The sequence below is a fragment of the Homo sapiens genome, chromosome 10 (assembly GCF_000001405.40).
Source record: "Homo sapiens chromosome 10, GRCh38.p14 Primary Assembly".
NCBI classification, from domain to species: domain Eukaryota; kingdom Metazoa; phylum Chordata; class Mammalia; order Primates; family Hominidae; genus Homo; species Homo sapiens.
In genome coordinates this window covers 4,739,137-4,766,874 of record NC_000010.11, presented here as the reverse complement: position 1 = coordinate 4,766,874, position 27,738 = coordinate 4,739,137, and the positions used below count along the sequence as shown (strand labels likewise).

General features: G+C 38.2%; 2 long non-coding RNA genes across 2 annotated transcripts in view; both read left to right on the top strand.

The window, feature by feature from the left end:
- The first annotated feature begins 381 nt into the window (after positions 1-381).
- Positions 382-27,738, top strand: part of LOC105376375 (uncharacterized) — a 60,465-nt gene continuing 33,108 nt past the window's right edge. Inside the window, exons 1-2 of the long non-coding RNA XR_930599.2 lie at positions 382-705; positions 2,361-2,570. This is a non-coding gene — a long non-coding RNA (uncharacterized LOC105376375). The remainder of the gene's footprint in view (positions 706-2,360; positions 2,571-27,738) is intronic.
- Positions 2,831-9,427, top strand: LOC105376374 (uncharacterized). The gene is made up of 3 exons (XR_930598.3): positions 2,831-2,909; positions 4,342-4,547; positions 9,324-9,427. It is a non-coding gene; the product is annotated as an uncharacterized LOC105376374 (long non-coding RNA).

Here is a 27,738-nt window from a genome sequence, read left to right as displayed (position 1 = left end):
GCCCAATAATCAAAATTTGATGGGGTGGCGGATGGCATTTGATCATCCAAGTTAAGATTTTTCAGCAGATGTTTATCTGTGGAGACTCTTCTATTGTAAGAACATTCATAGTTTTAGAAAAGAGGCATTTTCTGGGAGAACATGCTCTCCTGTCCTCTCTGTTTCCAGCTGCAAACTAACGTGTCATTTTGCCAAATGCTTCCTGTCTAGCTTCTGGCTATTTCTGAGAGAGAGAGAGAAGGTGGGGGCAGGGGGAGAAAGAGAGAGAGAGAGAGAGATTTTTTTTTACACATTTGCTTTGTACTAGGAAAATATTTCTTATACAGTCAACAATAGCATATTAATGGGGATGATTTAAGGAGCCCAAGCTTCTATTCTGTTGCCAGAATGCCAACGGGAATGTATGCTACTTTTCAAAAAATAGGTGTTGACAATAGCCTGCAGTATTGCACTGTAGTCAAAGAAGAGTGCTGAAAGCTTCAGTTCATAAAAATGCTTGATTCATCAAAAATAATCACCTCACCTGATAATTGAAAGCTACAGAGAATTATTATGCAGCCGTGGACTCTCAAAAATTTATTCATTTTTGGTAATTAACATTATTTCTTCTTGATGATGTTGCTAAATGGCTTGAACCCAGTCTGAAGAACCATGCATGATCATTTATGCTGAAAAGAAAAGAAATTAGAAGCTTTTGTTGCACAGGTAAGAAAAGATAAATTTCTGAAAACCAAAATGTCCTACCAGGTCTATCCATATTTGTTTTATTAATGGGTAATGCTTTCTATTAGCTAATGAAAAGATGATGGTAGTTTAACAGTGGAATAACTTTTAATATATCATAATCAGAGAATACAAGGTAAGCAAAATTACAATCCAATGTCTGATTAGAAAAAAAAATTATTTTATGGAATTAAAAAATATTATTTTATTAAATAAAATATGGTTTTCTTTTGAAAGTATGTGGAAATCAAATTGCTAAGATCAATGCAACCATTTAACTGAGTTTCATTTTGACAAAAGGCAATCTGTGGCGATATTGCTTTAGAAGTAAGATGAAATGCATAAATTCAGATAAAACATTTTGCCGATTGCCTGGCTGAAATAACTGGTTATTATTATTGTTATTACCATTAGAAGACAAAAAAATGGTCTCCCAGTTTTCAGCATATGCTACTCTTAAGTAGAAGGACCTTTAACAAAAGCTAAGTGTCCAGGCCTTGGTTTACTCATCAAAGCAAATGACCACATCAGATGTTCCCTGGGAGCCTTCTGACATTTAGCATTTGGTGATTTTATCATCTCACTCCAAGTAAAGGAAGCAGCAAAACCTCTCTGATTGTATTTTGAGGTCTCTGCATAAATAACTGTAAAGCATATTTGACCACATTATGAGAAAATTTGTAAAATAAATTTTATTTGGAATGCCTACTTGAACTGGAAATTAACAATTAGAGGACATGACTTCCCTGATGTTTACCTCATTAGAAAATGTCTTGGACAAAACGCTGGCAAAAATCTTCTCTTGAAAACAATCCTTTATTATTTAAAAGGTGGAATTTATGCCCCCCAAATTTATCTTTCTAATGATATTTAACCCATTTTGCATAGCTCGTGTTTTCTTTTGTCCAATGTTTAAACTAGCTTTTATTTTTTTAATGATTAGAAGCTTGAACATGTAAAAAAAAAAACATTAATGACTTTCATAGCATGAACCAGGAAAACATTTAAAATCTGTTAAACCTAGTAATAATTATTTCAAAATGTTGCCTACTAATGATGACTTACTAATTATCACTTTGTTGTCTTAGTAACTACCTACCCTTGCTGAAGAGTTGACAGATTTTCAAATCTACAGATTGTGACATATAAGAATGTGTGAAACCTGGTGGGTGAGCCATCTTAGGCCTCAGTTTCTCCATGTGAAATGGGAGGAACTGGGCTGAACGAGATCTAGGTTGTCCTTCCATTCTGAGTGTGTTCTCTCAAGATAATGCTTGTGTTAATAAGGACTGCAGGGCTCAGTCAGTCAATGGGTTATGTTCCTTAAACCTTATCCAAAACATCCCGGGTGTTATGTGTTTCAAAATTCAGATTTTTTACATTTCTTTTGGATTTTATAATGGTAATACATTACAAAACAGTATATTATATAATCCCCCCAGCAAGGTATGGGGCAGCTCCATGTAATTAAGCTCATTATGGATTCTGTGGCCACTGGTATGAAATTGAGGGCGGTGACAATCAGGGACTCTAAATAGGTTGTCATTAGCTCAGGTCAGTTACTGTGGCTAAACACATTACGGACAATCTTTTTTTCTTTTTTTTCCTATTTGTTTTTACTGCATTTTGGATTTCAGAATGGTGGATAAAGATTGCGAATTTGCACAGCTATAAAGCTTACTAATTAAAGACTACAAACACAAAGAGAGCAAGCCTTGTGATGACTGCACAATAACGAGGATTCAGATACAACGTGGTCGCCACCTGACGCCCACCTCCACAAAAAGCCATTCTCAAAAGGAGAGAGACATTCATATCCAGAAGAGGGAGTCGGCTGTAGGGTAGAGGTATGAAATTCTCAGTCAGTTTTTACTTTGTTGGTTCCAGTATGATTTTCATTATCCTTACTTTTGTGTTTTTTATGGCAATGTAAACATACAAACTAGTGGGAAACAATGCGGTCTTTTATTAATTTGCAGTAACCCACATTGTAAGCAATGCAATGATTCAGACCTTAGTTATCAAGAGGTTTTATTATAGAACCACTAGTAACTCATAGACTCTTCCTGTTATGTGAAATAAATGAAGACCAGCCAACTAAGAAAGGCAAAGGCTATGTATTCTGAGCTCATCTGGATCAGAGGAGTCAGCACTGTCATTTGTGTTTGGCAGAGACTGAAAGGCAGGTAAGGGGCTGTGAAGCTTTATAGTGGAAAAAAGGGAAGGCTCAGTGTGCCCTGACTAGAGGCTGTTGGCTTGGGGAGCTGGAGGCAGGCTACCTAGAATTGGAGCATCCTATGGGATTGGCTAGGAGAGCATATTTGGTTTTCTCTGTTTGTTACTTAGTTGGGAGTGAGGGCAAAATTTAGAGAAGCTGTCAGTTATTAATCAAGGGGTGGTCATTTTGGGCAGATTGCTCAAAAGTGGAGTTTCTGGATGAGAGTACTGTTTTCTTTTTTTAGAGACAGGGTGTCTCTCTCACCCACCCTGGAGTGCAGTGAATGATCATAGCTCACTGCAGTCTGGAACTCCTGGGCTTAAGTGATCCTACTGCCTCAATGTCCCACAGTTTTGGGATTATAGGGGTGAGCCACTGCATCCGGCCCAGAGTATTATTTTCACATATGGTCTAGTTGTCAGCCTTTTGCGTAGTTGCCCTCTCAGTGTATGGCAGCTCCAGTGGTAGTTACAGAGTTTCTAAAAAGGAGAGACTCACAGGGGTAAATTTATGAATGGAGAATCTCAGGAAATTGTTATGACCCTGCATTTGCATAGAAAACTCCATCGTTTTTCTTGGGTTATTTGTTTACATGAAGAAGCTTCTGAGCAGGACCCACTAGACACAAGAGGTTGCAGGAGCCTGCGCTGCATCCTGCAGTCCACAGCTGCAGAGAATTTTTGTGTTAAATTCATCTCATTCTCATCAAGGAGCTGACATTAGCTTTCTAATTGTGATCAAACAGCAAAAAGACTTTAAGAACAGTCACGAATTTCAAATCTTAAATAAAATGTTCTCTTTTCATGCAAATCTCCCTCCTAATGAAGTATGCTACCAAATAATTTGCTTTGCAGTTCCCAGGGAAGTTATTGAGAAAATGATGAATGGAAAGAAGGGGGAAAGAATAGAAAGATTGGAAAGAGAGATGGGCCAAAGAGCTTCTGAGTAACTTGAACAAAATCAAATACCAGGAAAATTAATGATTAGTCAAACTAATCGATTTATAAGATGAATGGTCCACTCAGAATAAAAATAATGATATTAAATGGCAGAATAACTGCATTTGAGGTTATTGGAAGGAAAGAAAATCTCCACAGTGACTGGAGTTAATGGCCTGCTCCTGCCCTGCTATCAACTTCCTTCATTCAGAATATATATATTTTCTCTCTCTCTCTTCCTCCCATGGAATATTAATATCTATATGACTATTGGATTTGCTCACAAATCATAATAAAGCAAAATTATGATTTGAATATTACTCCCATATTTTGAGTACTCCCCAAAGTGCCTTTTGACTGATTAGAGTGATTTTTCATTTAGTGCATGAAGATACTGAGTTTAAAATGAAGGCTGTATACATAGCCCCTAAATTCATAATATCATTTTGCATTTTTATGAAGATGTTCGTCTGAAGATTTCAAAGCCCACTGCTGATTTAAGGTCATTCACATTCAGCCATGAAGCTGCTCTGAAGACACAGGAACTGCATAGCTCCCTACTGGGAATGTCAAGGGCTGTGAAAGGTCTAAGGTTTTATCCTACTTGCAACCAACAAGCTATGCAGCCACAGTTTTATGGATGCTGTCAAAAGACATGACACTCCTGGGTAAGAGACGAAAGACTTTACCACTTGTGGTGTAGTAGCCAGCTGGAGCATCTTGTGTTTTGAGTTAGTGCCAGTTGTCCCCTAAGTCCCACAGGTAAGGATGCAAGTTTTCCCAGATGGAGGCAGGGAAGCATGCAGGCATGGGGTGGTGATGCAGGAACGGAGCTCTGAACTTAGAGAACCCAGAGCTTTAATAATGGGTGGAAAGTGTATCATTCACCTGCTCTAGAAAAAGACATGGAGGGAGTCTCCTTCATAAAAGGACGTTTCATAGTGGTTGCTATTCAAATATCCTTGGAAAGATGGGCTGAGACACAGGGTGGCCAGTGCCTCTGCTCACAAGGTGTACCCAAATCCAGAAGCCCATGAAAAATTATCTTCCAAAACAATGATGAATTTTCCCATGAGCATACCACTCCACTGGCCACTATGATTAATCTGGTCAATTATTCCCCCTCTAGCATGCAGTTTAGGCTGCTAACAACAGCATGAGGGCAACCTGCTGTGGTGACCTAAGCTATGACACCCCACCCCAAGTCCGGGATGCAGCTAACTGAGCAAACTGCATGAACTGGGAGGCGGCCGACCATTGTTCACGCCTCTCCTTCGCGTATGTGTTTTCTACTGTTCTTGCACTGTAAAGGCAGAGGTTGCATCGGGCCCTTATGCAAAGCCCCAAATAATTACTGGCTGACTCTTCTCAGGGAACATTTGCTAACCCTGTCACAAGCCATAAGGTTCCACCACAGATTGCCCTGTGGCTCTCTCGTTACGTTTCTGTGTGGACGTTTCCACATGGTCTGAGGCATTCATCCAAGAAGAGCAGGATGTATTAGTGACTGCACAGATTCTGCCTTGGCCCACAAAGAGGACATCCAGGGCAGTCCTGGTCATCTGTAATAACATTGCCCAGTGAGTTGAGGCTGACCTGAGTACTGACTTGGGTTGAGTTGGTGTCACTGATCACTTCAGCCAAAGATGGGACATTTCTTAGCACCTGTTCTGATTGGCTGACTTCTATGGTCAGGATAACGGCTCTCAGGATGCGTATAACTGCCAAGTCTCTCCGGGAAGCTTCCCTGGGTTACCAAGGAATCCTCATGTCTGAGAGAGCTCCACCATCATCCAAGGGCCACACGGAGTTTCTTGCAATGCTTCAAGGTCTCCTGTAATAACTCCTATGATAGAAGTCACTGTGTTTTGGGGAGGTAGACTGCAGCATGCAGTTTTGACAGCATGACCAAGGTCATTGTTCAGGTCTGATTATTCAAATTCAAAAAACTGCAACCTCAGGCATAAAAGATTAAGGATGGAGCCCAAGTCTCTGGGTCCCCAAGGGGGACTGAAGCACATACTCACCCATCTGAATATGCTGGAGAACAGGAAGGAGAGACTCAAGCTTGTCTGGGTCTGTTGGATACAGACTCTCCCATCTCCACCCCATCAGGTCCTATGGAGGCCCAAGTTCAGCTGATGAAGTTAAGGGAGTGCTCAGTGCAGAAGGGTGGGAGGGCACTTGGGGCATTTTGGGGTCCTGTTTTTGTTGCTTCTGCATCTGATACAGCAGGAATTGAAGTATTGCACACTTGTCCTTCCCATTTCCAAGTGCTGCCTTCCCATCAGTAAGAGCCACAGTTAGAGAGGGACCAACAGGAGGATAACTCCCACATGCTTAGCATTCCAATAATGGAACACTAGGCATAAATTGATAAGATGCTTTCAATGCAATCAGTACTCTGCCAGGATTCACTAAGTAGAGAATGACTAAATATTTACCCATCTCCTAACAAAAATGCACAACTGAGGACAGATGTTTTGCACTTTTATGTGTCTACGGACTGTGTAAGAGGATTTGGCTGGGTCATCATCTTCTTCTTCTTCTTAGACTGGTTGATGGTGACCGTTCATTGATCCAATATGGTAAAGTCATGTCCTGGTCTGTGTTCTTCGGGGTCCACAACCCTCTTTAACAGCCTGTTGTAAGGTTCTCGACCACGTCACTGTCTAGCTAAACCATTCTGCATTTCAGTAGGTAAACCAGCAGGAGGGCTTAAAAACCACATTGCCCTGTCCACATCCCTATTTCTGATTCTTTTCTGGCCTGCGATCCTACATCTCTATCCTCACTTTAAACTGTTTTCCTCTTTTCTTCTCCTTTTTCCTGACCTCCTTTATGTTTTTCATTTCTCCTCCATCTGAATATACCAAACCATCCTTTTGCTTCCTCTTTTCTCTTCATTAATTATTCTAGGGGCTATTTTTTTTATTAGGAAGATGTATTATTTTAACATGCTTTATAAAGTTAGTGGCATTAAGGAATTAATGTCCTTGGAAACTCATACATGTTCAGCTTCTAGAAACCCCTGATTCCAAGGAGCAAAAACATGCCATCTCTGACAGTGTCCACAAGAACAATACCAGATCAGACGATAAAGCCAACACACAGCATAGCCAATGGCCACACATCCAGAAAACACTCTCAACAAATTTAACCCTTCAGTATTCACTGTAGCCAATATATATTCAATATATATAGCTGACTTTGTTTTTATATTTGATGAAGTCCTGCTATTTGAAATAAAATAATCAAACCAACAACAACAACAACAAAAACCCCATACATGGTGATAGCATATGTGAGGCAGTAGCAATTTCTCCATCTTTTCTGTCCTGTCTTTCCTGTTCTTCGTTCCCATGCTAAGAAGGGATGGATATATCTCGGAGATTACACAGGTTCTAGTCAAAGACTTCATTGTGAACGTTTGTTTCACATTTTCCCTGGATAAGGACTAATTAAAAGTTTGGAAAAGTATACCTTTTTTTTTTTTTTTTTTTGCAAACTTACCCATATTATGTGCTTTTTCTTGATACAGCTGCTAATCTTTGCTGTATATGTAGTGTTAGGAAGTCTACTTTAATACACACACACACGTTTAATGAGGTAAAATATGCATAACATAATTACCATTTTAACAATTTTTAAGTGTAGAGTTCAGGGGCAAGTACGTTCATGTTCTTGTGCAACTATCACCACCATTTTTTCTCCAGAACCCTTTTTATCATCTCAAACTGAAACTCTGCACCCACTGAACAATAACTCCCCGTTCTCTCCTCCTCCTAGACCCTGGTAACCCCTCATCTATTTTCTGTCTCTGTGTATTTGACTATTCTAGGTACCACATTAACGTGGACTTACACAGTATTCGTCCTTTTGTGACTGGCTTAGTTTATTTAGCATAAGATCCCCAAGGTTCAGCCGGGTGCCGTGGCTCATGCCTGAAATCCAAGCACTTTGGGAGGCCAAGGTGGGTGGATCACCTGAGGTCAGGAGATTGAGACCAGCCTGGCCAACACGGTGAAACCTCATCTCTACTAAAATACAAAAATTAGCTGGGCCTGGTGGCGGGCGCCTGTAATCCTAGCTACTAGGTAGGCTGAGGCAGGAGATTAGCTTGAACCTGGGAGGCGGAGGTTGCAGTGAGCAGAGATGGGACCACTCCACTCCAGCTTGGGCAACAGAGCAAGACCCTGTCTCAAAAAAAAAAAATTCAAGGTTCATCCATGCTGTGGCATGTGTCATAATTTCATTTCTTCATATTCCTGAAATACATTTCTAAATATAAATTTTTCATTACTGTTTTCATTTCAAGTTAAGTTTATCAGATCCTGTAGTCCAGGGACTTCAGTCTCTTTGAATTATGTCTTTCTTGGACAATTTGGGAGCTCTTTTGAGAAACTGAATACAATTTGAATACACTAAAATCTGAATCACACCATAGATAACGACATAGTGTCTTAGTGAGAAGAAATTTGATTCTGCTGACTAGGATACTAAAGTTTGACCTTTATGGTCATCTCTTAATAAAATAAAAGGAGAGCACTGGGCTATTAAATAGTTTATTCATGGATCATAGGGTGAATAAGACCTAGATCCTAGAGGAAATCCTCCCCACAAAGACACTCAGACTTTTATTCCTGTCAATGTTCTTGTGGATTTCAGGGAGCAATGATGGCTATAAATCTGCAACTCATAGCATTTCAGGCTAAACACATTCAGCCTTTATTACCATTGTTCATTTGACCTCTTTATCCAATTTTTTTCCCACCCACTTGCCAATATCACCTTGTTCTTATGTAGGCTGTGTTTCAGCCAGCTTAAGCCTTACTAACAAATGAGGTGAAATCCATCTGAGGAGGAAGCCGGGGCATGGTGGATTGAAATAGCTTGCCTCAGGAGCAGAAAATTTGGTGTGGATCAAGAAATAGAACTCCAAAGTATACCTTTCCAGTCATTGGCTTTAGCTGGAGCCAGCATCCTTCAATGAATCAGTCAACATTTACCTATCTGTTCCCCACAGCAGTTTTGCAAATCGCTTTCAGAAATCATTGAACCACTAACAGTTTATCCACTCTGCAAAATATACACAGCTCTTCCCATATCCAGGAGGGTTATCCCTTCTCAGCTGCGTTCAACACTTTTTACAACCCCTGATTTCAATAAGCAGAATACATCCACCTGCTTAGGGAAATTACTCTTACCATATAATTGCCTCTTATGTTGAAATGTCCATGAGACCCTCTCATGAAATAGGGGACAAGATAAAGCACAGATTTTCCCCCAACTCAAACATGCCTGTCTCATACATGTCATGCCCTTGGAAATGGCCAACACTGCTCTCTGCCTCCTGTTTAGGGTTAAGGCTTTCACTATCTCTTGCCACCTCTGATGAAATTACTAACAAATATATTATCCTTACCCTTTGTCTTCTATTCCAGCACTTCAAATGCATCAAAGGTCCAGAGAGAAGCTTCTTCTGGTCACCTTGATCTTGTGATGCAAGGCAGGTGGGAGCAAGGGCTCCACCTCTGCAGACACAGAGATGACGGGGTCGCCATGCCGGCGTTTTAGTCCCGGTTTCCTCTGCTCGAGTAGTTGGTGGCCTCCTGCCTGTTCCCTAACATAACTTCACTTTCCTTACCTGCAAAACGAAATTAGTATTTCCTCCCTCACAAGGTGCTTGATGCCCTTCCCCTTGCGTTTACTTTGCCTGAGAGACTATATCATATCTATGATTTTGTGAATGGGGCAAAAGGAATTGAGAGTGTCAGGGTATACCTTATAAATAAGCCACTAAAGGTTACATCCTCATTCCACAAACTGACCTAAACAATTTGGCTGTCACTAATAGATTATTTTGGTCAGTTATGGCATTTAGAGGGAGAAGAGAGAGTATATATATATGGGTGGGGTGTGTGTGTATGCGTGTGTATGTGTGTGTTTACAGTCAAAATACCAAAATATATCTATGTATATAAATATATTTGCTTTCTTTGTTTTTGTTACAATAAACTTGTACATACAATTCTGACACACATATTTTCATATGTAGGCACAAAAATAGTCATACAAAAAATACCACAAAAGGTAATAACAAAGTGGAAGAAGACATAGGAACAGAGAACAAACCAACACATAGAAAAAGTAACAAACATGGTAGATACGAATCCAGCTATATCAATAATCGCGTTAAACATCAATGGTCTTAAATATACTAGACAGTGGAATATTATTCAGCATTGAAAAGAAATGACCTATCAAGCCATGAAAGACAAGGAGGAACCTTAAATGCATGTTACTGAGTGAAAGAAGCCAATCTGAAAAGGCTGCATCCTGCAGGATTCTGACTCTATGACATTCTGGAAAAGGTAAAACTACTAAGACAGTGAAAAGATCAGTAGCTGCCAGGGGTTACGGGAAGGGGATGATGAATAAGTGGGGCACAGCATTTTGAGGAGGTGAAACTACTCTGTAGGATACTGTAACAGTAAATCCATGTCATTATATGTTTGTACACACCCATAGAACACCAGGAGGACAGCACCAAGAGGGAGCCCTAGTGTGAACTGTGGACTCTGGTTGGTAATGATGTGCCTGTGAAGCTTCATTGTTTGCAGCAAATGCATCAGTGTGGTGGGGGATGTTTCTAAATTGATAATGAAGGACGCCATAGGTGTATGGGGGCAGAGAGTTTATGAGAAATCTGTACCTTTTGCTCAATTTTACTGAACATAAAACTGCTGAAGCCATCATTCTCAGCAAACTAACCCAGGAGCAGAAAACCAAACGCCGCATGTTCTCACTCATAAGTGGGAGTTGAACAATGAGAACACATGGACACAGGGAGGGGAACATCGTCACACACCGGAGCCTGTCGCAGGGTGGGGAGCTGGGGGAGGGAGAGCATTAAGACAAATACCTAATGCATGTGGGGCTTAAAACCTAGATGATAGGTTGATAGGTGCAGCAAACCACCATGGCACATGTATACCTATGTAACAAACCTGCACATTCTGCACATGTATCCCAGAACTTAAAGTAAAATATATTAAAAAAATTAAAGTCTATTTTAAAAAAAGAAAAACAATCAGCTAACCTACTTTGGTAGCTCTGTTCTGCGCTGTCGGGTCTTCCATCCTAGCGTGTGACACAGGAGGGTTTCGCTGGCAGGACCCGCCCACTGCACATGCAGGTTCAGGTGACAGAGACCTCTGGAAAGATGAGGCCCGTGGGAGCAGGGGGCTTCTTGTTGACACTGAAGGTCAGGCTTCAGGAATGCCAGGGGCTCATAAAATCTTTTTCACTGAACATTATGCTGAGCAGGATTCATTTTACCAGTGAAAAAATATTTCTGACATCCTTTGTGCTTTTTAACAAAGCCTGTGGTGTGGATTTGCATGATTCTTAGATTGCTGAGTAACCACTTCGGGAGGGTTCTTGATTAGGGCACTAAAAATGTTAACACAACACCCGTGGGATGTAGATTAAGGTCAACTTGTCCTTGTGCGTCTCTCCTAGTGTTGATGGCAGAGTCTTAGTATTTCAGCTGACGAAATCTCTGCCCATTCTCTTCCAATGTTCCCTAATAAGCTACAGGAGGACAGAGACAAAAGTTTGACTTCATTAGTAACTTTTGGAAGTTGCCCAATTTAGGAAAAAGAGTTAATAAATCAGGAATTTTATAAGAACTTTTTGTTAAATCTGTAGTTATTCAAATCAGCCTCAGCATGATAAGACAACACTACAGGTTATTATAAATAGTTGAAAAAGAAAAATTAAATTCCAACCAAACAATTGATCCTTAACTTTTTTTTTTTTTGAGACGGAGTTTTGCTCTTGTTGTCCAGGCTGGGGTGCAGTGGCACAGTCTTGGCTCACTGCAACCTCCACCTCCCAGGTTCAAGCAATTTTCATGCCTCAGCCTCCTGAGTAGCTGGGATTACAAGTGCCCGCCACCAAATCTGGCTAATTTTTGTATTTTTAGTAGAGACGGGATTTCACCATGTTGACCACGCTGGTCTCGAACTACTGACCTTAGGTGATCTGCCCACCTCGGCCTCCCAATGTTCTGGGATTACAGGCATGAGCCACCACATCTGACCGATCCTTAACATGTGATAAAACAAATGTTATGTTGCTCAGCACATAGTTCAGGTACCCATTTTGAAATTCACTCTTCATCACACAGTGCCCCTTCTTCTCCTCTCCTGTGGAGACTGAGTTCTCATCTCCCTGTCTTAGATAGCATGAGACCCCTTTCTCTACTGTGGCCTTAGTGAACCCAGGAAGGGATCCTATACTGCACATGAGTGTGGGAAAGAGAGACTGTGGCTTGACGTCTTAGGGAACTTTTTTTTTCCAAAGGCTGGCAGAGACTCTTTCTTTCCTATAGTATAGTTCTTTAAACATCACACTCTTTTACAATCCTAACTAACTTTGTGATCGTGTCTTCCATAAATACCCCAGAATCCCAGTCAGAATATGCACTGTAGGAAGGGACTAGTCTGGGACTCAAATGATTAGATGAGTTCAGGGAATATGTCTAATGATGGATTTTGAGCTGGGTTTTTGAGTGTCGTTTTCAGTATCTTCATCATGTCCATAGCTATCATAGGCTAAGAATAAAACCAGACTGGTTTTCCCTAGTCAGCATTCTCTTTGTCTGATCTTCAGAGGTAAAGTCCAGATGCTGTAAGCCTTGACTGGTGCGGTGGTGTAGGGCTAGCAGCACGCTACAAAAAACGAGGGCCACGCAGTCCTGGGGAGGAAGACTCTACAAGTGCAATGTGGGGAAGGAGACTCTACAAGTGCAATGTGCCCGAGGCGGGCGGATAACTTGAGGTCAGGAGTTTGAGACCAGCCTGGCCTACATGGTGAAACCCAGTCTCTACTAAAAATACAAAAAAAAAAAAAATATTAGGCATTGTGGCACACACCTCTAATCTCAGCTACTTGGGAGACTGAGGCAGGAGAATCACTTGAACCCGGGAGGCAGAGGTTGCAGTGGGCCAAGATTGCGCCATTGCACTCCAGCCTGGATGACAAGAGCGAAACTCCATCTCAAAAGAAAAGAAAAGAAAAGAAAAGAAAAAAGAAAAGAAAAGAAAAGAAAAGATATCATTTGGGGATTCTGCTGCCTTGCCTGGGTCCTGGCACAGGAGTAGTGGATGCCTGACCATGCCTGGGTTGTCACCAATGAAAAATTAGCATCTGTAGGATTCTGGAGGAAAATGGCAGTCTTTCGGAAACTGAGCCATCTTTTAATACACTTTTCCAGGCTTCCTAATGGTCTGCTAACTACATTTTGGAACTTATCCAAAATAGATCTGGAGATCTATGTCTCCTTTTAAAAAATTAACTTACTTATCTTAAAATAAACTTTATTGGCAACAGTCTACCTTAAATTAAATGCACGTGTTTTTAATGTATAGACTGATGAGTTTTGACACATGTGACCACCACCTTGATCCAGACACAGAGCACTTCCATGTCTTCAGAATGCTCTCACCTGTCCCTTCACATCCCTCTGTCTACCCCCTACCCCACCCCAGGTGGCCTGAGCTGGTTTTCACCATTATAAGTTTTGCATGTTTTAGAACTTCACATAAATTGAATCATATAGAACATACTCTTTTGTATCTGACTTCTTTCAATTGGCTTTATGCTTTTAAGATTCATTAATATTGTGGTGTGTTAGATACACACAAAAAGTGTGCCCCTTTTTACTGCTGAATGGTGTTTCATCGCAACGTTTAGCGTAAATTACCGGTGGACAGGCATTTGGGTTGTTTCCAGTGTGACTATTATGAATAAAGCTGCTCCAAACACTAGTATATGAGGCTTTGGGTACATTGTTGTTTGCTCATTTTTAACATTGTCATAGATAAATACATTGGACTGGACTTTCTGGCTCATAGGTTTCATTTTATAAAAGGTACAGAACTATTTTCTACAGTGGGTGTGGAGTTTTACATTCCCACCAGCAAGGTATGTGGATTCCACGTGCTCCACATCCTCATTAATTTTTGGTAGTGTCAGCCTTTTTAATTTTAGCTAATCGAGTGTGTGAAGTGTTTCTCATTTTAATTTTAGTTAGCACTTCCATGATGAGTAAAGCGGAACATCTTTTCATGTCTAAGATTAAGAAAAATCTTAATACCTGAATATCTTTGTCTGTTCAAATAGTTTGCCATGCTTTTAAAAAAATACTTGGATTGTTTGTTTCCTTATTATTAACTTGTGATATATAAAAATTATTATGTTTCCAATACATGTGTATGTGTGTGTGTATGTGTAAGTGAGTCTTTATATCCTATATCATTTTTCTGTTTTTACTCTAAGTTCTGGGATACATGTGCAGAACATGCAGGTTTGTTACATAGGTATACATGTACCATGGTGGTTTATTGCAACTGTCAACCCGACATCTAGGTTTTAAGCCCCACATGCATTAGGTATTTGTCCTAATGCCCTCACTCCTGTAGCCCCCCACCCCCTCGACAGGCCCCGGTGTGTGTTGTTCCCCTCCCTGTGTCCACGTGTTCTCATTGTTCAACTCCCACTTATGAGAACATGCGGTGTTTGGATTTATGTGTGTGTGTTAGTTTGCTGAGAATACCGAAAGGATTATAAATCGTTCTACTATACAGACACGTGCACACGTATGTTTATTGCAGCACTATTTCCAATAGCAAAGACTTGGAACCAACCCAAATGCCCATCAACAATAGACTGGATAAAGACAATGTGGCACATATACACCATGGAATACTATGCAACCATAAATAAAATGAGTTCATGTCCTTTGCAGGGACATGGTTTAAGCCAGAAGCCATCATTCTCAGCCCCGCATGCTGACAGTTTTATATATACTTACTATTATATATAATATATAATATATAATTATATATATAATTTTTTGTATATTGACAGTTTGTCTAATTGTTTTATCAAATACTGATTGTGAACTTGTTTTAGTTCACCTATTTTAGTTCAAGGATAGTGTTTACTGTTATTCGTTTTAGTTCACTTCTTAATAAAGCTTGAGGTTTCAAGCTTTGCCAATAGATATATATTTATTTAGGATAGTATATCTTCCTTATAATTCTCTTTTTCTCTTTAATACTCTTTATTGTGAAGTCTGCTTTTATTATGTTGATATAGCTATGTTAGCATACTTTTATTGGTTTGCATGTTGTACATTTTCTTTCCTTGTAATTCAAGGAATTTGTCTTTTTTTAAAATAGCTTGTCTTTTAGGAAGTATATATATTGCTTTTTATCAAATGTGAAAAAATATGCCTTCTGATGAGATCTTTAGTCTAATTAAGTTTAACGTCATTGTAGACATAGTTGGATTTAATCATTCAATTTTGTGATTTTCTTTCATTTGTCACTTCTGTTTGTTCCTTTATTGCCCTTTAACTGCTTTTATTTTATGTAACTTATTCTTAGAATTCCGCTTTATTCTCTGCACTGCAATTCTGCACTAGACATATTTTTAACTTATTTTTAGTGGTTGCCCTAGGGCTGACAATATGAATCGTCAATTTATCAAAGATTATGTAGAGTCAGCATTTTACCATTTCACACCTTATACTCCACACCCTACAGTTCACAATTCACATGTTATAACTCATGCTTGCTGCCTCCTGCCACTCTCATAACACTCCACTTTCCAGATGTAACAGAATTATGAGATTGCAGTCTCACTCACCTGCCCACCATCATCCAAGCTCTTCTTGTCACACATCTTATATCTATATATGCTATAAAATTTACCTTATGATGTTATTTTTTAAACAGTTTTTAAAAGAAATTAGGAAAATGGAAAAGTCTTTTTTATTTTCCAACGTAGAGCTGCTTTTAGTATTCTTTATTCTTTTGTCAAATTCAAGTTTCCAATAGAAATCATTTTCTTTCATCTTGAGAATATTACTTGGCATTTCTTAGAGTTTAAGTCTACTGGTGACAAATTCTTTGGAAAAATCTAATTTTACTCTTGTTTTTGAAGGATATGTTTACTGGATATAGGGCTCTGAGCTGTTTCTTTTATGTTTCAGTACTTTAAAGCAGTCATTTTATTATCTTCTAGTATTATTTGATACGAATTAATAGAAAGTATACAACATTTCTCTTTTTTTGTAATACATCATTTTGCTCTGGTTGCTTTTAAGATTTCATCTTTATCTTGGACAGTGTTACATCTGCTTTTCTTTTTATTTATTCTGCTTTGGTGTGTAAGTTGAAGTTTTATTAAAACCTGGGGATTTTACAACTATTCTTTCTTCAAATACTTTTCCTCTCCTATCCTCACGGTCCTTCTGGAACTCAAAATATTAGCATACATGTATTAGGTTGTAGCATATATTATACTATACATGGATGCTAATCTGCTTGGTATTCTCTCGTGGGACCAGGAGACTCTGCTCGTTTTTCTTCAAGGATTTATTTTTCTCCTTTGTACTTCAGATGCAATAATATCTATCAACACCTTTGATTTACTGACTCTTTTACTCTGCCAAGCTTATGCAGTAGATTTTTTGGTTCAGGAATAGCCTTTTCAATGCTGGAACTTTTCATTTGGTTTCTGCCATGCTTTCCGTATCTTCACTGAGGCTGTGTCTCTATTCATTCATTAAGATCATATCTTCCTTTAATTATTTCAATATAATTACAATAGCTTGCTAAATCCAACATCTGTGCCATAAAAGGGATATATTTCTAACGGACTGTTTTTCACCATGGGTCATATTTACTTATTTTTTGTATATCTCATTTTTTTTTGTTATCGTGTCCTGGGACATTGTAGATGACACATTGTACAACCTCTGAATTCTGTTCTCATCCTCTGAAAAGTGTTGATTTTTTATTAGCAGGCAATACAGTTACTGCTGATGACTTTGAACTTGTATAGAATTGCTTTTTTAAAAATTGTATTTTCTTAAAATTACTTATTTATTTAGAGATAAAGTCTTGCTGTGCTCCCTAGGCTGGAGTGCATTGGTGTCCTCATAGTTCACTGCAGCCTTAAACTACCAGGTTCAAGTGATCCTTCTGTCTCAGCCTCCTGAGTAGCTAGGGCCACAGGCACACACCATAAAACCCAGATCACGTTTTGTTTTCGATAGAGATGGAGTCTTATTATGTTGCTCACGTTAATCTAGAACCCCTGGGCTTAAGAGATCTTTCCATCCCAGCCCCCCAAAATGCTAGGATTACAGGCATGAGCCACCATGCTAAACCTAGACTTGGTTTTATGCTTTGTCAGGGCTGATCTATGGAAAGACCAATTCATTTCCCTGAACCTCCGAAATCTCCCTTCTCTAAGGATTTTTTTGTGACAGATGATGTTTTAGGCTTTGTGAAGGTGGGGCCACAGTAGGAGTTACTCTAGGGGGTGGCTTCTATGCCCAAAATGAGACATCTGGGGACTCAGCTCTGTGCCTGAATGCTGTTGATGAGGTATCTTTAACGTCTCTCCATCATAGCAGGCTGGACTCCCAATGTCCTTCAGCAGGACTCTCCTATCTCTGTCCTCCGCTTAATCGCCCCTTAACATAAACCCTTAAGCAGGTTTATGTTAAGATGGGAGCAGTCATAGCTGCATAAGCATATGCAGCCCAAGCTCATGACGTGTCCCCAAAGGGATGCTTGCAATCTCCATGACACCCTCTTCTTCTGCCCCACAGACTCCCAAACCACCCAGACACTGACCCCTGCCTTCTCACCTCCCTGGAGTTGCCATTCTCTGCATGGGGGCCAACTTCCTGTACTGCTGTTCAGGAATTGGTCCCCCACAGAGAGCCAGGAGAATCGTGAGCTTCCTTTGTCCCTGTGGTCATATTCTTATGCTGCATATTCTTGTCCAATGCCTGAAAACAGTTGCTTCATAGATATGGTCTAGTTTGGTGTGTGTTTGTGAGACCAGACCATAAAAATTACTCCCTCATAGTCAGTGACATATTTAAAATTCTATTAAATAGTAATTTTTAGAACAATACCTCTGCTAATCAGAATACCTGACACATAATGAGTGTTTCTAGGGAAGCAGATGTGCATTACTCGAGGCGTTGGCATTGCCTTACTTCACTCTTACATCAGTCAGGGGAATTAGGATTTACTATCCCCATTTAACAATGTGAAGACTAAGGCTGAAGCAGGATGAATAATTTATTCAGTGTTATGTGCTAAGAAGGGCAGAGCAGCAATTTAAAGACAATTTTGAATGATTTCAAAAGTCATGCACATGATATATATCTCTACCCACAACACTTGCACATGCTGCCTTTACCAACCAAATCATACTGGAGGAAGCAGAATGTTTGAGCTGATAAAGAACCTTTACAGAAATGCCCAAGAAAAACTACCTGTCTCTAAATATTTTGGAAGAAACCTCTAAATAACGTATTTCTTGAAGCTGTGATTGCCAATTATTGATTCCCTGCAGAAAGCAAGCAAACAAATACATAAAGACAAATGGAGTACAAATTTTCTTGAGAACTAACTAGAAATGCGTATACAAATAAAAGTAAGGGTTTATTACCGTTTTGTAAAAATCTGAATACTCATGTTAATTTTTCTGAAGCGTAAAATAATCTGGTATGGGTGTTTTCGTCAGCTCTTGTTGCAATATTGCTGTGGAAAAAGTCACAAAGACAGAAAACCAAGAGCCTGTATTTCTTTCTCATGGGATTACAGGTTATTTGCAACTTACCTGGCTAAGCTGAACTCCAGAATTTGGACTAGAGGCTTCAGGATGCTGGTGCAGTTCAAGTCTGGTCCACATGTCTCCTCCTCCTTCGAGGGTCATTGACTACTTTGTGTATCTTCTTTTCATGACAGTTCATATGAGTGCAAGATGGCTCGATAGACTTGCACACAAGTTTAAAGATTTTTGTATACACCTCATTCCATTGTTAAAGCAAGTTGCATGGTCAAATCTAACATCTCTGGACAAGGACATGCATTCATACCACTCTACTGCACTGCAAGCTCACGCAGAGGAGCAGATCATAAAACGTGATTGATGCATGATGATGATAATGACCAACCTACCATCATGGACATGACCGTATGTTGATACTAAGCCTCTTAGTAAAATGAGCTAAAGAAACCAGAACTATCTGCCTTCAGCTCAGCTGTCTGATCAAAAACTTGAAATCTGGAAACAGTGGTATCTGGAAAACCTACTAAAAGTGGCTTTGGGAAAATATCAATTAATGTCAATTTCATTAATTATTCAGGGAAATCCAATCCAGTAAGCTAAAATATGAACATATGTGAACATGTCAATAAGATTATCTTTACTTTTTGAGTTCCTTTTCAGGATTTAGAATAATTTTGTTAAAGGGGGACGTGAAATAATTATAATTTTAATTTATTTGAAAAGACATATAATTGTATTTTAGGCACTGTAATTAAGTTCACTATTTTAAAGTTAGGCTATAAAAATGAACTCAATATATTTGCATATAATAAAATGTAAGAAGTATATTAGCTCTTGTTTCTTAAAATACAAATATATATTGGCTTTTGAAACATTTAGAATGTAATAGCTCATGCTATCCATTTCCTTATATTCTGAATATTTTAAATCAGAAATCAAGTCTCATTGAGTTTTCCAATTCTCACACAAATACAAGTTCTAAACTTTCCTGTAGAATTTAGAAGTAAATTATTTGACTACTTTTTTCACGCTCAAACATTTCTAAAATTTTAACTAACCTCATTAGTATTTATATCTTACCCCTCTTAAAAAGGAAATTTCATGTAATTATTATTTTTATATAGATTTTTAATGTTTTACTATAATACAGACTTATTTTTAAGCTCTAGCTGAAAAATACCTCTTAGCTCAGATATTTATTTTTTTACTTGGTACCTCTTAGTTTAGATGTTCATTTTTTTACTTAGTAGCTTTTATAGTATAAACTATTAGTCAAAGAATATGGTCATGTTTAAAATAAGGTATATTATTTATTGAATACAAGCAATAGTTCAATGATTTAAGTTCTATATTTATCTTCTCAGAGTAACTTTCTGTCAGTAAGAGGCAGATTTATGCAAACACATTTAATAAACAATAGTGTATTTTAACATCTTTAACCTACTTTTGAAGAAATATTCTATGTAATTCAAGAAAAATAATTTGAGTAACAAATATTATTCTTAAAATATATACATATATTTGACATTAAACATATATTTAAGAGTTTATTTGACATTTTCATGTATTTTTACAGAAATATCAGAGATGCTTACGTAGAATTTGGAAAACTTTAATTTTCACCAAATACTCATGTGCTTTGGGCTTACAGCATATGAATTTTGGCAGAAGAGAAGTGAACCAGAATAGAAGGAGGAGGGGATATTTAATAAGAGATTACAAAAATGCTTTCTCTGGGTAAGAGATGTGGTCTTCATTTAATGTTCAACTTAAAAAAATAAAAATTATACCATGGAAAATGTGTGATTTACAAGATATGTTAACAAGTAATAAAACCTAATAAGTGGATTTGTATTTTTTTAAGAGCATAAAAATATCAGTTTGGCTATTCAAATGCATTAGGCTGTTATTTAGGTCCTCTTTTTCTTTATGTGCCCAGTACTTTCATCTTTAGACCTTACTAATGCTAGATGTCTTCTTGTCTTACTTGATAGTTTTATATTATATTTTATTCAGCCTAGTGATGGGAAGAATACGTTTACAATATGTTTACATTGCACATTAGTTTCTTGTCATATTTCCAGAGATTGGATAATAACTGATAACAAGAGACAGGGAGGTTTTCAGGATTTTAAGTCCTTTTTTCTAGGACTTGCTTCTTTTTGATAAAGCAGTCTCTACACTGGGTCTTTATATAGAGTACTTTTCTCTCTGTCCATAAATAGACTTGGTTATAGGAGAAATGGCGGAACAGTTTGAGAGTATGGAGTTTCAAAGCAGAGCTCATTATTGATGTTAATAATTTATTAATTTATTAAACGTGGCATGTGGAGTGCTGTTCTAAATGCTTTCATGCATCGATGCATGAGGGTGCTGTGTGCAGTGATGCCGGGTCACATTGCCAGGATCATCCTCAAGGACTGAATGACCCATTTGCAGGAGTGTCAGGACAGTGGATGCTGACTGATCACAGCAAAGTCTGTCTCCAGGAATAACCCCTGGCCGAGCAAGCAGCCTCACTCCCACTGGAGGCATCCTTGAAGGGTCACGGGCCAGCACAGTTCCAGAAGTCCCCCTACATTAGTATTTATATTGTGTGATTAATTCAGCTACTTATGTTGCATTTATATTTATGTTTTTTGATTATTGCTGTGTCTATGTGTTTATGTTTTTTGACTATAATATTTATGCTGTTTGTTTAATTCTGTATCAATTAAAAAAAGGAATGAATTAATGGCATTCGCAGCAACCTGGATGAGATTGGAGGCTATTATAAATGAAGTAACTCATGAAAAGAAAACCAAACATCATATATTCTCACTCATAAGTGGGAGCTAAGCTATGAGATGCAAAGGCATATGACTGACACAATGGGCTTTGAGGACTCAAGGGAAAAGAGTAGGAAGGGAGTGAGGGATAAAATACTACAAATTGTGTGCAGTGTATACTGCTCAGGTGATGGGTGCACCAAAATCTCACAAACCACCACTAAAGAACTTGCTCATGTAACCAAACACCAGCTGTTTCCCAATAACCTATGGAAATAAAAAAATTAAAAGATTTAATGAAAAATAAGTCTAGAAGAAGTTCTTAACCCTTAGAGTCTTGTGGTCACAGACATTTAGATCCATATTTTTATATCAGCAAAATAATATGGTGATGAGCAAAGCACTTTGAAGCATAGAAACATTTACATTAACATAAAATTATATGGAAGAAATGGAATAATGTTTATATTCAAGGAGAAGAAAATGATGTAGAAATGCCAACTGTTATTCGAGCTTTTTCATGTATATTTTCAATGGATGATCTGAGAGATAAAATCATTCTGGTATTTAGATTTCACTACGTAAATTTAAGATCACATGTCTAATTTTTAGTCGACCTCTTTTTATTTCTAAAACTCCCATATTTGCTGATATGAAAATTACATTATTTACAACTATTTCAACTTATAACAAAACTTTATATTATAGTTTTAAATTTATTTTTGGTGTTAAAAACAGGCAAAAATTTCCATCAAATAAGGTGATTCCGAATTGTCTTTTGGCTAAAAATTCAGTCATGCTCTCTTATTTGTTCTAGCAGGAGAGTCAGTCTAATCCAGTCTTTTGTGGTGATCACCCATTCATGGCGAAAAAGAAAATTATTAGCAGTGAAAGAAGGAACATCATGAGGCAAACCACAAGCAGGAGGTAGCAAAAATGTTAAGATTTTTTGAAAAAGTACATTTGATTCAGTCAATTAGTAATTTAGGAATTCTTTCTCCCAGTTGATGATCTAAAGTTTTCAAATCCGAGGAAGGTCTACACCAGCCTCCTGCTCACCTTCGTAAGTCTTGACAGGACATAATAAAGAAGTCCAATGAGATTCATATTAATCATAGCAATACTTAATTAAACTTAGTCTTCCCAGAGCTGCCATACAAATTACCACAAACTTCATGGCTTGAAACAATAGACATTTATTTTCTCACCGTTCTGGGGGCTGGATAGTCCAAAATCAAGCTGTTGGCAGAGCTATGCTTCCTCTCAGGGCTCTAGGGAGCCTCCTTCCTGCCTCACCCAGCTTTTGCTGCCTCCTGTGTCTTGGCATCTGGCAGCATCGCACCCATCTCTGGGTCCGGCATCATAAGGGTGCCTCTGAGTCTCTTTGTGGACCCTCCAGTCTCCTACACGGGCACTTTCCCCGGATTTAGGGCTCACCCCACTCCAGTCGCCCTTATCCTGATCTTTACTTTAATAACATCCACAAAGATCCTATTTCCAAATAAGTCACATTCTGAGATTCTGAGTGGACATGAAATCCGGGTGGACACTATTTGACACACTGGCATTTTATATATGCCATGTTATCAAATATCCTTACCACTCAACAACAATAAAAAGAAAGTAACTGAGAAAGGAACTTGTCATATCTCACAGATGAGGCAGTTTAGGTAGACTGACATGTGCCAAAGTCAAAGCTGAGATAGGATTCCAGGATATAGGGTGACAAGTGCCATTCTCTGTGCACCAGCCATTCTGTGGTGCTGGCCATTGCCCTACCTCTCCACCTACTCCATGTCTTCATGAGGACCAGTGGTGCATGTCCCTATCACTAGCCTTGGATGGGCATCTCCTTGGTGTTGGCGTCACTGAAGGACAGGGAAAGGGAAGTGTTTTATGAAACTTTGCCTCCAAGATAGATGCAAGGTTCCAACTCTACACATCCTTCCCAGCCCATGAGATGACCTTGACTTAAATGACAAAGAAGTGCTTTCCAGCAGATGGAAGTCCTCTGTTCAAAGGATGAGTCCATAAGAGCCTGCATAGTCCAGCCCTTCAGGTACTAAAAGCATGTGATGCTCAATTAAAGCAGACAATCTGGCTTTCTGTGTCCTCATAACTGACCCTGATCAGAAAAATATGCTTAACCGCTACAGGCAAAACACTGCAGTGTGCTTCAGGTATCATGCTGATCTTATTACTATGTGACCTTTTACATTTGTGGCACTTATGTGTTGTCCTTAATTGTTGAGTGAGTATTATCAGGATAAGAAACATCTACAATTTTTTCATGCAATCCTTTTTTTAAGACTGCTTTAAAACGAAATATGTTTATCACCTCTGACATTTTACTCTATGTCTTTATAAAATAAGTATATTGTATCTGGAAGGAAATTATATTCCCTTGATATATTTGTAAAGACTGAGAAAAAGAATACATTTCTTCCCTCAAAATGGAGAATCACTATAAGCAGGTGTTGATGGAGTTATATGGAGGCATAAAGAAGGCAAACAATAATTCCATTCCTCTGCAGGACAGTTGGAGGTCTGACTTCAAATCTTTATCCAGTTATTCTATGGTTCAACTGGAAGAACTGCTTTATTTCCAGGCAAGAAACATCATTTGAGATTTTTCATGTATATTTTCAATGGATAATCTGAGAGATGAACCATTCTGGTATTTAGATTTCACTACGTAAATTTGAGATCATGTGTCTAATTTTTATTTTTTATTTCTAAAACTCCCATATTTGCTGATATGAAAATTACATTCTTTACAACTATTTCAACTTATAACAAAACTTTGTAGCTGCCACAATAGAATAAAGAGGACTTACTCTATTGCACATTTCAGAAAATTGACCCACTACCAGCAAGAGAGGCAGTGACATTATATTGATCAACTGGCAGGATTGTAGAATTCTATCGATCAACTCTTACTTGTGGCACTAAACACTCAAAACATTATCACCAGCATATTTACAAACTTTGTGGATTTTCTACATTTTCAGACTACAATATTTCTGGTCATTCCAGCTTTATAATTTCATTCGAACAAATATTAGAGCCAAACAGACATTATGCTTTTCTTCCCTCTACTCTTCCAGCTGGAATCATTGCAGGAGTTTTGCTCATCTGCCAAAACTTAAATCAACAGCTTTATCTTGTCAAGAGCGAAGCATAATAAGAATTACATCCACAACAATTGTCAAAGTGTGGTTCATACTTAATTATCATAATGGAGTTCTTAAAATAAGATTGAGTCAATATATACATACATACAAAGGTGAAAAGGCAAGTGGGGTATGCAACATAGTAGGATTACCATCAATCTCTGAAAATGAGAGATCTTCCCTTTTATATGAAAAGACAGACGGCGTCAGCCTGCTCAAGCTGATCTGGAAATAAACTACATTAGCATTTACAACAAACCCATGGCACTAAGAGAGATAAATATGGCCTATATGAATATATTAATGATATAGACTGATGATATTGGAAACATAAAGAAAATTAATACATTAAAATGATACATTTATTAAGTTTACTCCTTAACTATCTTATCAAAATAAAAAAGAATTTAATCTTAGATGTTTTGAAAAATTCAGAAAGCTAAGACTTTATGTAAGTTTGAATAAAGATATCACTATAAACTGATTAAAGTATAATGAAGGAACCTCTCTCTTCAGAATGGAGAGGAGCTGGGTATGGTGGCTCATAACTGTAATCCCAGAACTTTGGGTGGCTGAGGAAGGATTGCTTGAGCCCCAGGAATTTGAGACTAACCTGGGTAATATCGTGAGACCCCCATCTCTAAAATATATATATATATATGTATGCTTCTTGTGGGGAAACAAAGCAGTTCCTCCAGTTGAACCACAGGATAACTGGATGAAGACTTGAAGTCAGAGGGGCATGGTGGTGTGTACCTGTAGTCCTAGCTACTCAGGAGACTGAGGAAGGAGGATCACTTGAGCCCAGGAAGTTGAGGCTTCAATGAACTATGATCACACTACTGCACTCCAGCCTAGGTGACAGAGCAAGACCCTGTCTCTAAATAAATAAATAAACATTTAAAAAATAAAAATAGGATGGAGTAGATAGGAGAATTTAAGTGTAATCAGAACTCATGTTAGCTTTGCCAGGTTTGACTGTGTTGTATTGTCTAAGGAGGACACAAAACATAAACCTCTTCACCTCCTCCGTCCAAAAGTGCAAATCTGAACTTGCTATAAAATTAAAGTTGATGTCATTTTGCAAGACCTTTAAGATCATAGGTGAGAGCTTTCTCACAGTTACTTAAAATTTAGTTAAGTGAAGGTTCATGTTATATATAAGATTAGGATGTTTTTCCTAGTAAAAATAAATTGCAGTTGTAACATTTTCCCAAGATTAATGATACTAGCAGATTTGCATACAAGAATCAGGGTCATAATAACTCATGGTCATATGGTTGGACACACCAGACACAAGATTTTGTTGTTGTTCATGTGTTTGTTTTTTCATTTCAAGTGATTCTAATTAGTGATAAATGACTAATGTACCAGAGAATAAACTAGAATTATTTTCTTAAATAGAATGCTCAGTCTGTCAAAGTTTTCAAAATAGCACACTGCACAATGAAAAGCAAGCTCCCTGGAAATATTGATTGTTATTTAATATTTCCCCATTACCAGTACATCTTAACCAAAAGTAAATTTTGGTAAAAACTTATTCCTACAAAGTGACTAGAAGTTGTAGTATGGAAGAAAAGACATGTACTTTGTGGATACAAGATCCAGGGAAGCATGAGGACCCCCATCTAACAAATCAGATGCTGCTCAGAGCCTGAGAGCTATTGGAAGCCTTAAGAGGTTCATGTAGAGTCAAGTTCACGGACAGTGTGACCATATTTTTCCATGAGAATCAACGGGCCATTCCCCTTGCTGGAAAGGGAATCAAGTTACATACTGCAGGCTTGGATTTTATTTTAAAGTGTCATGCTCAATTAACACATATACACTAATCTGTTTTCTGAAGTTATATTGTCCTAGAATTCTGAATTGTGTTATAAATTATTCTTTTAAAATGTCCACAATAATCCTCTTCTGGCAGCTATCACAAAAATTTAAAGTTGTTCTAAAATCTACATCTATAAAAATAAACAAAATACCACAATTGTTTTAAAATGTTTTTCCTGCCATACTAATAACATCAACATCCAGAGTACTCATTGGCAATATAAAACTATAAAACTGACATTGGTGATATGAAGACAATATTGGTCCTACTCCTCCTGCCCTCTGTCTGGGGAAGACCTTGGTCTTTTTTTCTACATATTGACACATTCTCCACGGAGTATTCCTTAATCTCCTTTGTTTGAGAAGATTGCAATTTATCCAAGTTTCTTTTCCTTACCACACAATTAACACCTCATTATACAGTAGCTAATGCACTGATTATTTTTGTCTAGCAATTTAGCACTTGATAATAAATGATTCTGTTCTTCAATTTTCTTTGACTATGCTGCCTGGCTCCCAGTCCTGTTATAAACATTGTGTGCAGACCCAGGGCCTTACTGCCTGAGATCCAGCCCTGCTCCTTTAATTACGAGTGTGTATCATCTCAGGAAAATTACATGGACTTTTTTTGGCCTTCATTTTCTTAGTGCAGAATGGAGACCATGATAAACAATACAGTCATATGGATTGTTGTCCGAAGTAAATAATGATTACGTTCAAAGTATGTAGAGCTCTCTTGGAGATGTAGTAGTGTTATATAATGTTAGCTATCATCATCATTGTTTTATTGTTATAGTTATTTTTATCCTCAGTGCTGATGACCCTCAGACCATAGCATTTGAACTATGCCTTGCACGGGCTTGATCACACGGTGAGCCTTCCATGAATATAGTCTCCTTGTGCATGAGTGTGGGTGCGACTCATGTTTAAACTCTCAAAAACACTGCATTTGGTTACCCGAGTAGGTCTATGCAGCCATGAAACACAACTGTGAGATGTGGATGAGACAATAGTAGAGACATAAACTTATAACACATCAATAAAAAATGGTGCTGCTTCTAATGCAAAACTTTTCTGAATATCATGATGACACAGAGTGGAGGCATTGAAACAAGCTTGGGGAAGCTCTAAGGATAACATAAACGTAGCAACTATTGAAAACATTTTTGTTTCTTTAATTCTATTTATCTAAATAAATTCAACGTCATCATCTTTGAAAGTTCAAGCTGGGTACGGTGGCTCACATCTGTAATCCTAGCACTTTGGGAAGCCCAGTTTTGCAGATCACTTGAGCCCAGGAGTTCCAGACCAGCCTGGACAACATGGTAAAACCCTGTCTCTTACCAAAATAAAAAAATAAATAAATACATATAAAAAACATTAGCCAGGCATAGTGGCACACACTTGTAGTCTCAGCT